Source organism: Homo sapiens, chromosome 18 (genome assembly GCF_000001405.40).
Source record: "Homo sapiens chromosome 18, GRCh38.p14 Primary Assembly".
Taxonomy (NCBI): domain Eukaryota; kingdom Metazoa; phylum Chordata; class Mammalia; order Primates; family Hominidae; genus Homo; species Homo sapiens.
Genome location: NC_000018.10, coordinates 14633778 through 14646293, shown reverse-complemented (window position 1 = coordinate 14646293; position 12516 = coordinate 14633778). Strand labels below are relative to the sequence as shown.

Genomic DNA, 12516 nt, shown 5'->3' with positions numbered 1-12516 from the left:
GGGAAGAGAATGGCTTGAACCCGGGAGGTGGAGGTTGCAGTGAGTCAAGATCATGCCACCGCACTCCAACCTGGATGACAGAGGGAGACTCTCTTTGACATGCTTGAACTTTATGACTTGTCCTATCTTTCCCTATTTCCTAATTAGTCATTCTACTTTAGGACAAGAATTTGCCATACCAGCTCCTCTCTCATGTAACATTTCTTCATAACATTTCTAACCATAAACTCATCTTCATATCCACAATTTTCTTTGTATCTCTCCTCCCTACTAATTTCTTATGCCCACCCAAATCAAACAAGATCAGGTAATGCAAGGCAAAACAATAGAGCCTTAGATTTTGAGAGGGACCTGTCTGCCTACAGTTCTTGGGATTCCATGAGGAAAAGAGAGGTTTCTCCTAAAAGGGGGTCTGTGGCACCTTCTGTTTTTCCCATGGATTCTCAGGCTGTCAGAAATTATCTCAGGTCCTCTCATGTGGGCATCGAGAGTGGCAACAAGACAGACTAGGAAAGTAATTCAGACAACTAAGAAGGAAAAGAAAAACTTAGTACTACTTTCATTGTAAAGACAGATAAACTGAGGCACCATGCAGTTTAAAATTTTATGTTCACATAGTGTTAGACTGCACAGCTCTCTCTTTTAACCATCCTGTAATTCTGCTAACTCTATGTCCGTCACTGATTCACTTGTATGGTAGCTCGTGGGCCCCTTAGAGCTTGGAACCTGGGTTTCATTTCCTGCTCTACAGCTATATAATTTAACAATTTTCCTCTGGATTTCTTGGATTCTAACGCTATATATCCCAAATTTTATTAATATTACTGAATATTAACGGAGGCTGTGATATCTTTAGTCTGTAGAAATATTAAACAACCTACGAAGGACTATATGAGGTTAAATAGTATTAATATTTCTATATGCTTTAAAACATTGAGGCAATATATTGAGAAACACACCTAAGAAACAGCAACCAATCCATTCTGGACCAAAATTTAGACACTATCTCTTCAATATAAGCTATCTAGTGGCATTTTTACATATCCTTACACATATCAACAGTATTTTACATGCTCATAACCTTAAAAATAAAAAGCGTCAAAATTATAGACCTTACGCATTTCTGTGGGCTTGAAAAATGATGCAATATAGATTGTTTCTTTAAAGTAGTCAATAAAATGCATAAACTTCTAGAGTACTCACTAAAAAAAAGATTTCATACCAAAGGTAATAATAACAGAAATAAAAAAGGGCTCAACACTGCAGGTTCTTGAAGGCAAAAGTTAATAAAGACTTTGTTTTGGTTGTGAATCTTGGCCTTAAAACATTATACACATGATCCTCCCTTCCTTTTCCTGTTGCAAAGATGTGATGAACCAGATTTGCTCATGCAGATGACAATACTCTTGAAAATGGTGGCAGAGAAATAAAATGAAAGGAATACAGTTCACTTAATGATCTCATAAATTGGAACTAATTACCCCCCTGACTCTTGCATAGCTCCAGACTATGTGAGAGAGATGAAATGGCTGTTTGCTAGCAATATTTTATTTGATGCTTCATTTTTGATTCCTTGAATAACTACTTACAACACATTAACAGGATCATGAAAAGCATAGCTATTCAAGTAACCAAATAATTATGCAATCAATGTTTTTCCTCATCTCTAAAGCATAGTAATGGACTGATTATTTTAAGAATACAACTCGGTGACAAATAGTTTATGTTTAACTCAGTTTTGGTTTGTTGTTTGTTAAGGCCATTGCTTAGGATAATGAAAACAAGAGGAGGAGAAACAAGAATATAAAAAAGAAATAGAAGCAGCAGCATAAGAAAATGAAGAGGAACAAGAAGATGATGATTAGAAGAAGAAAAAACAGACTGAAAGAAAGGAAGAAGAACAGGTGTGGGAATTAGAAAGCCTATTATGATACCTTATTTCCCCTCCTGATTTATGAACTTTGAAAAAATTTCAAGACTTTTCACAACAAAACCAAGCTAAAAGATACACCAATAGTCACCCCCTAAATTTTGTTAAGAATAAGACAATGTTGCCACTCACACCTGGCCCAGGCACCAGCAGGAGGAGGGCACCTCCAGATTCTGCAAGAGAAGGAGGAGGACTCCTCCTTGCCTTGGCTGGGCCTCCACTGCTGCCACCTCGGCCCGTGGTACAGCACCTGCAGCTGCCTCCCCACTTCAGGCCAGGCTGGGCCCGGTGGGCTCCACAGCATTCCCACTCCCACTTCTCGGATCCCAGACTTGCTGCTGCTGCCACCACTAACACCAACACCAACATGACCACTGCTGCTGTTGCCCTCAATGCATGGGCCCACCCTACAAGCCTCCTACCACCTGGCCCCTGCAGACACTCTCCTACCACTCCACCACTCCGGTCAAGCTGCAGTCTCTGTCTCTGCCACCAACTGCAGCGAGGGGAGCCACAGAACCATGCCATCTGCAGGCTCCAGCCTCCAGCGTGCAACAGATGACTCCTCCAGCTCCTGGCTCGAAGCATCTGGGTGGTAAAAGCCAGATGTGCCTAGAACAGGATGGAAGGAGTGGTAGTGTTAGAGGCTCACCTTGTCATGCTGGTCACTGGGTGGCAGGGGCTGGTTTCGGCAAAGGCACAACTGGGACCTGGGGTGGGTGTGACTGCCTTTGCTGAAACTGGCCTCTGGCTAGGTCCAGCTGGCCAGGAACTGCTGGGCCCACCCTGGCTGCACTCCTTGGTGAGCAGGAGAAGCAGAAACTCAGACCCAGCCAGCTCTCTCCAACCAAGTGCCAGTTCCTGTTTCTGATGCCTCCACCCACAGGGCCCTGTTCCCCCGTGATGCCCGCTACTCCGTGCCCAGGAGTCCCAGATTGTCTCTGCAACACAGTGAGAGGGTGCAGGCCCGGGAACCATGGCGGGTGTGGGGGCCTTACCGTGCTCAGGATTCCCAAGGAAACATTGTGCACCTGCCACGCTCCAGCACGAGCAAACAGAGGTTGCCCTCTAGAATCTAGAGTCTGGGAAGAGGAGGACGGCCCCTTCCTTGGAGGCCACAGCTATCGCTGCCACCTCCGTAGCCCATTGCCAGAAGCAGCAGTGCAGTGCAAACCCCAATAGTGCCCCCCCACTGGCATGCCACAGGGCATGTAAACCTGATAGTGCCCCCAAACTGCCCCACTGCCTCCAGCAGTGCAGCCAGGGATAGTGCCCCCAACCAGCCCTTGCTGGGGGTAGTGACAGCCCAGATAGTGCCCCCAACCTGCCCCCCCTGTCATGACAGTGCAGGAGCTGATAGCACCCCTAACCCTCCCCCCAGCTGGCGGTCAGCCCCCTGTAGCACACACAACCACCCTCACCACCAGGCAGTATAGCCCCCACCAACTCTGCCAACCCATGCCCCTGATACCCTTACCGGCAATGTGACCTTGATAGTGCTCCTATCCAGGGTAGTGCATCCCTGGATAGCTCACCTACCCTGCCACCTTTCTACCATGCTGGCCAAGCTGCAACCTCCGTCACCTCCACCAACCGCAGTGAGGCGAGCCTAGATGCCACAGGCTCAAGCCTCCAGCTCGGGGTACGTGGCTCCCACTTCCTGTTCTCTAAGCTGAGCTCCCAGCTTCGATTCTGATTGTATGAGAGCAAGTCTTAGGACAACCAATCACAGCATGAAAATAAAGTCCAATCAGAATAGGCCTAGAAGTTTTCTCTCATCCAATCAGAATATGTAGTCCAGGAACCTCATTTGCATAACCTCACATATAAAGGATGCAGAAAGGGCGTCAGGCCATTCCAGACTCGTGTGTGGCTGCTTGCGCAGCTGCTCCGTGCCAGGCTTGGAGGACCAGGAGAAGGGGTAGTCACTTGCCACAGCTGGAGGCTGGAGCGTGTGGCACCACGGCTCGCCTCGCTGTGGTGGGTGCTGGCGACAGAGACGGCAGCTCGGCTGGACTGGTAGGAGGGGGTAAATAGTTTTTGGGTAGATGGAGGGATAAAGAGGGTGGTTAGCGGCAAGGGGAAAAGAGGATGGCAAACAGGAGAAGGCATTGCAAAAAGATGGTGGGGAAAAGATGGTTAAAAAAAGTTTTTGGGTAGCAGGCGGGTAAAAAAGGGTGGCATGTAGAAGGAGGAAAGAGAGGGTGGTGAGGGGGGGAAAACGGGGACAAGTAGGAAGGAGAGAAGGTTTACAAAAAGACGGTGGGGAGAAACACGGTGAAGACAACAGAAAGACATTGGGGAAAGAAAAGATGTGTAAAAAGATTTTGGGTAGATGGAGGTGGAAAAGGGTGGCACGCGGGAGGAAGAAAGAGGGTGCAGAGAGTGGGGGGAAGAGAGAGAAGGTGGTGAGCAGAAGGGAGAGAAGATTTTGTGAAAAGTCGATGGGGACAAGATGGTGGGGAAATATTTTTTTTCAGTAGATGGAGAAAAAAAGGGTGGTGAGCAGGAGAAGAAAAAAGGGTGCCGAGTAGGAGGAAGGAGAAGGTTTTGCAAAAAGACGGTGGGAAGAAAAGACAGTGGGGAGAAAAAACTGTGGGAGAAGTTTTTGGGTAGATGGAGGAGAGAAAGGGTGGCAAGCGGGAGAGTGGAAGGACGATTGGGAAAACGACGATGGAAAAATAGTTTTGGGGTAAATGGAGGGCGACAGGAAGGTGGCATGTAAGAGGAGGGGCAGGAATGGGGAAAAGAGGGTGGTGAGCAGAAGGCTTTGCGAAGAGATGGTGAGGGGGGAAAGACAGTGAGGAAGAAAGTTTTTGGGTAGATGGAGGGGGTAAAGAGCGTGGTGAGCAGGAGGGACAAAAGAGGGTGGCAAGTAGAGGGAGACAAGGTTTTGCCAAAAGACCGTAAGGAAAAGACAGTGGGGAGAGAAAAGTTTTTCGGTACATGGAGGGGGAAAAGAGGGTGGCAAGCGGGAGAGGGGAAAAGAGGGTGGCAAGCGGGAGAGGGGAAGAGAGGGTGGCAAGCGGGAGAGGGGAAGAGAGGGCGGCAAGCGGGAGAGGGGAAGAGAGGGTGGCAAGCGGGAGAACGAAAAAGAGGATGGCGAGTGGGAGGGAGACGAGGTTTTGTGAAAAAGATGGGTAGAAAAGACAGATGATGGGGAAAGAAAAGATAGACGGTGGGTAAAATGTGGGTAGATGCAGCGGGAAAAGAGGGTGGCAATTGGGAGGATAAAAGAGGGTGGCGAGAGGGAGGAGGGAAAGAGTTGGGAAAAAGACGATGGGGAAAATAGTTTTGGGGTAGATGGAGGGCAAAAGGAGGATGGTAAGGATAGTGGAAAGAAGAGGGCGTTTTTGGGGAGATGGAGGTTGGAAAAGCGGGTGGCGAGCAGCAGGAATGGGGAGAAGGCTTTGGGAAAATATGAGGGAAAAGTTTTTGGGTAGATGGAGGAACAAAAGGGGAATGAGAGCAGAAGGGAGAAAAAGAGGGTATCCAGTGAGGGGGGAAAAGTTTTCGGGTAGATGGTTGGCGAAAAGGGTGGTGAGCAGGAGAGTAGAGAAGGCTTTGCGAAATGACAGTGGGGAAAAATAGTGGGAGAAATGTTTTGGGGTAGATGAAGAAAAAGGGTGGCGAGAGGGAGGGGGCCAAAGGTGGTTGAGAAAAGAAGGTTGGGGACAAAGTTTTTGGGTAGAACTTTTTCTGAGTTTTAAATCAAATTATTTGTATTTTTGCTTTGAGTAGTTTTAGTTTTTTATATATTTTTTGTTGTATTAACCCCTTGCCTGATGCATAGTTTGCAAATACTTTCTTCGGTTCTCTGGATTGTTTCTTCATTCTATTGATTGCTTTCGCTACTTTGCAGAAGCGTTTAAGTTTAATGCAACTGCATTTTGTCTATTTTTGCTTTTTGTTGCTTGTGTTTTTGATGTGTATTTGAAAATCCGTTGTAACCAATTTCACGAGGCATTTTCCTATGTTTTCTTCTCTAGTAGTTTCATAGTTTCATGTCCTACATTTAAATCTTTATTTTCAGTAGATGATAAGATAACAGCCTACATGTATTGTGGGTGTTGGGTTTTCCTAGCACAGTTTATTGAAGAGATTGTCCTTCCCGAATGTGTGTTTTTGGTGCCTTTGTTAAAAGAGTTGACTGTAAAAGCTTGAATTTATTTTTGAGTTCTCTATTCTGTTTCATTTGTCTATGTCTGTCAGTCATTGGTCTGTGTATCTCTGTCTCTCTCTCGCTCTGTCTATCCCCTACCTATTTTTTTTCTTTTGCCACTACCATGCTGTTTTGGTTACTAGGTTTGTGGTATATTTTGAAATCAGGTAGTGTGATGCCGCCAGCTTTTTTCTTTTTATTCAAGATTCTTTTGTCTATCTGAGGTATTTTGCATTTCCATGTGAATTTTAGGATTTTTTTTTTTTTTTGAGACGGAGTCTTGTTCTGTCGCCCAGGCTGGAGTGCATTGGCGCGATCTAGGCTCACTGAAGGCACTGCTTCCTGAGTTCAGGCAATTCTCCTGCCTCAGCCTCCTGAGTAGCTGGGATTACAGGAGTGCGCCACCACGCCTGGCTAATTTTTGTGTGTGTAGTAGAGACGGGGTTACACCATGTTGTTCAGGCTGGTCTCAAATTCCTGACCACGTGATCCAGGCGCTTTGGCCTCCGAAAGTGCTGGGATTACAAGCGTGAGCCACCATGCCTGGCCGCTTTTTTTTTTTCCTATATCTATGAAGAATCTCTTTCCTAATTTAACATGGATTCCATTGATTCTGTAGATCACATAGGGTGATACAGATATTTTAACGATATTCTTCTAGTGCTTGGACATGGGATATCTTTACATTTACTTGTGTCTGCTTTAATATCTTTCGTCTATGTTTTATAATTTTAATTGTGGGATCTTTCGCCTTTTTGTTAAGCTTATCTCTAGGTATCTTTTTTGGGGGGCATTGGGTAACTACTGCAATAAAATAGCTTTCTTGATTTCTTTCTTAGGTGTTTCACTATTGGTACATGGGTGTGCTACTCATTTTTATATATTGATATTGTATCTTGCAACTTTATGAAATGTGTTTATTATTTCTAGTAGGTTTTTTTGTGGAATCTTTAGGGTTCTGCATATGTGTATGATTATGTCACCTGCAAACAGAGACAATTTGACTCCCTTTATTTCCATTTTGGATGCCTTTTATTGCATTCTCATATCTAATTCCTCTAGCTAGGACTTGTAGTACTGTGATGAATGAAAGTGGTAAAAGTAGCCACACTTGTTCCAGATCTTAGAAGAAGAGCTTTTAACTTTTCCCCATTGATTATGATGTTAGCTGTGGATTTCTCATATATGAACTTTATTGTGCTGAGATTAGTTCTACTGTTGAGGCCCTCTCATGCATTTTTCAGTTCATCAGTTGCATTTTTCAGCTTTGAGGTTTCTGTCATCTTCTTAAATTACTTCTATCTCTTTGTTAAATTTCTTTGATAAGTTTCTGAATTACTTCTCTGTATTTGAATTTCATTGAGTATCCTCAAAACAGCCATTTTTACTTCCCTGTCTGGAGAGTCTCACATCTTTTTTTTTTTTTTTTTTTTTTTTTTTTTTTTTTTTGTGAGATGGAGTCTTATTCCATCACCCAGCCTGGAGTACAGAGGCACAATCTTGGCTCACTGCAACCTCTGCCTCCCACGTTCAAGAAATTATCCTGTCTCAGCCTCCCAAATAACTGGGACTACAGGCACCTGCCACCACACCCAGCTAATTTTTGTATTTTTAGTAAAGACAGGGTTTCACCTTGTTGGTCAGGCTGGTTTCGAACTCCTGACCTCAGGTAATCCACCCACCTCAGCCTCCCAAAGTTCTGGGATTACAGGTGTGAGCCACCACACCCAGTCGAGTCTCACATCTGTAGCTCTGGTCACTGGTGACTTATTTATTGTTGTTATTTATTTCCTTGAATGTTCTTAACGTTTTTGAGCATATGTTCATGCCGGGGAGTTGAATAAGTGTGTATTTATTCCACTTTTTGCAGTCTGTTCTTGTGTGTGCTTGTCCTTCTTCAGTCGTCCAGAAATTCCAAGAAATTCAAGACTGTTGAGTTCCCCAAGCCTGTGGTCACTGCAGCTGTTACAGCACCAGAGGGCACCTTAAGCTCAGGTTCACCATGACTTTTGCAGACTGAGGTCCCTGGTGGCCGTGACACACTTGGAGAAGATAAGGGAGGGGTTCCCTGGGTTCCCAGACAAAGTTCTTCTTTCACGTCCATCTTCTTCCCCTTGCAAGGAATCTGGGCACCAAGCTTTGTGAATCTGGGCACTCTCATGTGATTTAGGCACTCTCATGGCCACTGCAGCTGGCGCAACACACCTGAAGCCCACAGCCTCCCAGACCAGAGCAGCACTGGGGTTTATCTGAGTCCTGTGGCCACTATATTGCCTGACTGCTGCTGACTTATTTAGGTTTCTAAGCCAGGTTAGTCTGCTGGTGATGAAGCTGGCCTGGGTTTGGGTCCATCCCGCCAGGGTGGCAGAATCCCTTCTCCCTGCAGGGGGGTCTGTAGGTGTCTGGGAGCTCCTGCCTAGGATCAGGGCCACAGTATTCTGCCTGACACTGTGTCCACTGTAGTAGGGCTGATACTGGGTTCTCCTCTTTCTCGCATAGGGAAGGAATTCTCTCTGCACTGCACTGCCTGGAGTTGGGATTGGGGTAACACAGGCAGCCCTCTGGCCACTGCAGCTGATGTCACATAGGAAGCCCACAGCCTCCCAGACCAGCACATTGTTGGTTGTTGGAGCTCACCCAAGGACCAAAGTGACTCTGGCCTGCCTGCCACTGAAATTTATTTGGGGCCTGAGGCCACTTGAATCAGCTGGTGGTGAAGCAAGTCAGGACTCAGGTTTGTCCCACCAGGGTAGTGGATTCCCTTTTAGACCAGGTCGTGTCTAAATGCTGTATCTATGGGCACTAGCCTGGAACGAAAGGCCATGGGGTTCTGCCCAGTGTTGTCCTTTACTATAGCAGAGCTGGCACTGGGCTCCAAGGCAAAGTCCCACGGACCCTTCCTTGTCCCTCCTGCAAGAGGTGGACACATTCTCTGCACTGCACTGCCTGGGGTTGAGGGAAGGGCAGTGCAGTCACTGCAAGACTGTCTTTTCACCCTCGTTAATGTGTGTTCTCTTGTTTTTAAGCTAAAACCAGGTTCTGTGATCTGTCACCTGCTTTCTTTAGCTCTTGTGAAGGTATTATCTTGCTTGGATTGTTGGACGGTGGTTCAATTTAATATTCCTGCAGAGACACAGTCACTGAGATTCTATCCTCCATCTCGCTCCACCTCTTCTCATTTATTTAGTTCTTCTTCAGTTTATTTCAACAATGTTTTGGAGGTTTCAGAGTATTAGTTTTGAACTGCTCTTGTTAATTTCTAAATTTATTACTTGTTTTGTTGCTATTATAAATGGGATTGTTTCTTTTATATCATCTTAAGGCAGTTCATTGACAGTATATAGAAATAAAATTAATTTTTAGTATTACATTTATATCTGGAAACCATGCCAAATTTATTATTTTGAATACAGTTTTACTGAATTTCTTAGAATTACATATATATGAGATCATGCCATCTGTAAATATAAATAATTTTATTTTTTTTTCATTCAGGATGTTTTCAATTTTCTATTCTTTACTAAATACACCTCGCTAGAATCCACAGTATAACGTTGAGTAGAATTTGCAAGAGTGGACATTCTTGTAAGTAACCATGCCAGGAAAGGATTCACCCTTTCATTGCAGAGTGTAATGATAGCTGTGGGTTTCATAGGTAACTACCACTAGTTTCAGGAAGTTATCTTACTGTCCATAACTGGAGTGTTTTCATGATGAAAATGTGTAATATTTTCTCGAATGCTTTCTGTCTATTGAGATGCTCATATATTTTGGTCTTTTATTCTGTTAATATGGTGTTTGCATTCATTGATTTTTCAAATATTAAATCAATGGGGCATTCCTGGGATCAATCACATCTGCACACAGTGCATAATCTATTTTATATGTTGGTGGGTTCAGCTTGGCAGTATTTTGTTGAAGATTTTTGATTTTATAAAACAATTAAAGACACTGGTCTATATTGTTTTGTTATTCAGTTTTGGTGTCAGAGTAATCCTGTTTGTAAAATGAATTGGGAAGTGTTCTCTGCCCTTTTATTTTCTGCAAGGGTTGGTGAACAATTGATATTAATTTCTCAGAGTGTTTGATTCACCTGGGAAGCTAGCTGAGATGAGATTTTTATTGTAAGGTTTTAAAATTACAATCCAATGTTTTAACCTTCCATAGATCTACTTATATTTTTAATTTCTCCTTTAGACTGTTTTAGTTTCTGTCATTCTAGGACTTCATTCTGTCTAGGCTATCTTACTTTTTCGGCATAAGATTTTTCATTGCATTCTCTTTTAATCATATTTATTTTGTAATACTGCCAGTGATGTGTTCTCTTTTATTGCCGATTTTAATAATTTGAGTTTCATCTCTTTTTTTCTTGCTTAGCCTAAGTAAACATTTGCCAATTTTTTTATCTTTCCAAACATTTCATTTTGGTTTATTGATTTTTTTCTGTTTCATATTCCTTAACTTTCTGTTATCCTAACTCTATTTTCCCCCCATCTTTATTTTTTTATTTTTTTTTTTGAGACGGAGTCTGGCTCTGTCACCAGGCTGGAGTGCAGTGGCGTGATCTTGGCTCACTGCAACTTCCCACTCCCTGGTTCAAGTGATTCTCCTGCCTCAGTCTCCCTAGTAGCTGGTATTACAGGCACACACAACTAGGTCCAGATAATTTTTCTATTTTTAGTAGAGACAGGGTTTCTCTGTGTTGGCAAGGTTGGTCTCAAACTCCTGACCTCAAGCAATCCGCCCGCCTCGACCTCCCAAAGTGGTGGGATTACAGGCATGAGCCACCTTGCCTGGCCGGCTTAACTCTAAGGAAATGTTTATCTTTAGGAACATTGTATTTGGTTAATTAAAATTTTAGATTCTGGAGCATCAACTGTTCTCTTACATGAAAATAAAAGCGTGAATTGGGAAATAATGGGTTCCCCAATTTTTTTGTGGGGGGAACAAAACAACTATCCATGTACATACAGTTTTTGGTTCCCCAGATCATTGAGCCAACTTGGCCAAAATAAGTAATCCCTCATTCCTTATCTCAAGAAGGTGGTCTTGCCTTGCTTGGAGATGTTAAAATGAATTCACTGGATGTAGTCACTTTTAAGACTATTAGTTTACTTCATGTCCCATTTTCAGCCAGTTACTCTACCTGGAATAATAGAATCAAATTCTGTCATGCACAGGTAAATAAGTAAATTCTGTCATTTAATATCTAAATTATGTATATATATTTACATACCTATATTTTACTTGCAATTCGATGAAGATAAGGCTTTGTATGTATGCTCTGTGTAAAATATGCTGTCTATATTCTCATGATTACAAAGAATAGTTTGAGTAATGGAATGTATTTGAATTTTACATATGTCTTTCATTTACTAGCAGAAATAAAATCTTAGCACTTGATTTAGTAAATTCCTCCATTTAAAATAAGATGTTACTTTAGCAGAAACAAAATTTATCTTAATGGGATAATAATTCACTAGTTTACCTCTGATGAGCATCAGCTAATATTTAATCCATTGTGAAATTACACAGAATCAAAATAAAATATAATACAGTTAGTTAAAATAGAAAAATTATCTTATTGATTAATTTAGACATCAGAAGTTAGATTATAAAATCAAGGTATTTTTTGTGTTTGTTTTGTTTTTAGTATATTAGCATATACTACCAAACGTGAACCATAGTAAAAGCTGTTCAGTAACACTTACCATTCCATTTTCAAATAACCCGAGTTTATGTGTCAGGTTGAAAAGCTTTTAGATGAGTGGTTTATGTTACTGTATGTATCCAAATATTTGTATATCATGTAGACAGCCCAAGAACATATGCACGTATGTTAGCTATTGCATAGAATGGTAAAGAATACATTCTTAAAAGAAAGAAGAGAGTAAGATACATTCACTTAATGTTCCAAATAGGTCTCTAGTATCTCAAATGTACTATTCACCCATTACTTTCAAACATTATATCAGGGCCAGGCACCATGGCTCATGCCTGTAATCTCAGCCCTTTGGGAAATTGACGTGGGTGGATCACTTGAGGCCAAGAGTTCCAGGCCAGCCTGGCCAACATGGCAAACACCTGTCTTGACTAAAAAAAAAAAAAAAAAAAAAAACTAGGCACGGTGGCACCCCCCTGTAATACCAGTTACTTGGGATGTTGAGGCACCGGAATCATTTGAACCTGGGAGGCAGGGGTTGCAGTGAGCTGAGATCATATTACTGACTCCAGCCTGGGCAACAGAGCAAGACTCTGTCTCAAAAAAACAAAACCAAAAACATTATATCATGGTATGTGATTAATCTGAATTCAAAACATCTTAACATAAACTAAATGAAAATCATACAAAATTTTGCTTGTTTTATTGCATTCTCCTAATTCCTCTAGCATCTATTTAATTCTATTTGTTTTGAATTTACCA

General features: G+C 42.7%; 1 long non-coding RNA gene and 1 pseudogene across 6 annotated transcripts in view; one reads left to right on the top strand and one right to left on the bottom strand.

The window, feature by feature from the left end:
- GTF2IP8 (general transcription factor IIi pseudogene 8) overlaps positions 1-3577 on the bottom strand; it is a 63889-nt pseudogene extending 60312 nt beyond the window's left edge. Inside the window, exons 1-2 of the transcript XR_007066431.1 lie at positions 3470-3577; positions 2381-2542 (exon numbers count right to left, since the gene is read on the bottom strand). The product of XR_007066431.1 is annotated as a general transcription factor IIi pseudogene 8, transcript variant X1 (transcript). The remainder of the gene's footprint in view (positions 1-2380; positions 2543-3469) is intronic.
- A 207-nt stretch (positions 3578-3784) lies between these two features.
- Positions 3785-12516, top strand: part of LOC105372004 (uncharacterized) — an 87301-nt gene continuing 78569 nt past the window's right edge. For 4 of the 5 annotated variants that reach the window (XR_935172.2, XR_935175.2, XR_935174.2 and 1 more), the window contains exon 1: positions 3794-3949. This is a non-coding gene — a long non-coding RNA (uncharacterized LOC105372004). Of the gene's footprint in view, positions 3950-12516 lie in introns of all 5 variants that reach the window. The other variant, XR_935173.3, reaches the window with a different exon arrangement.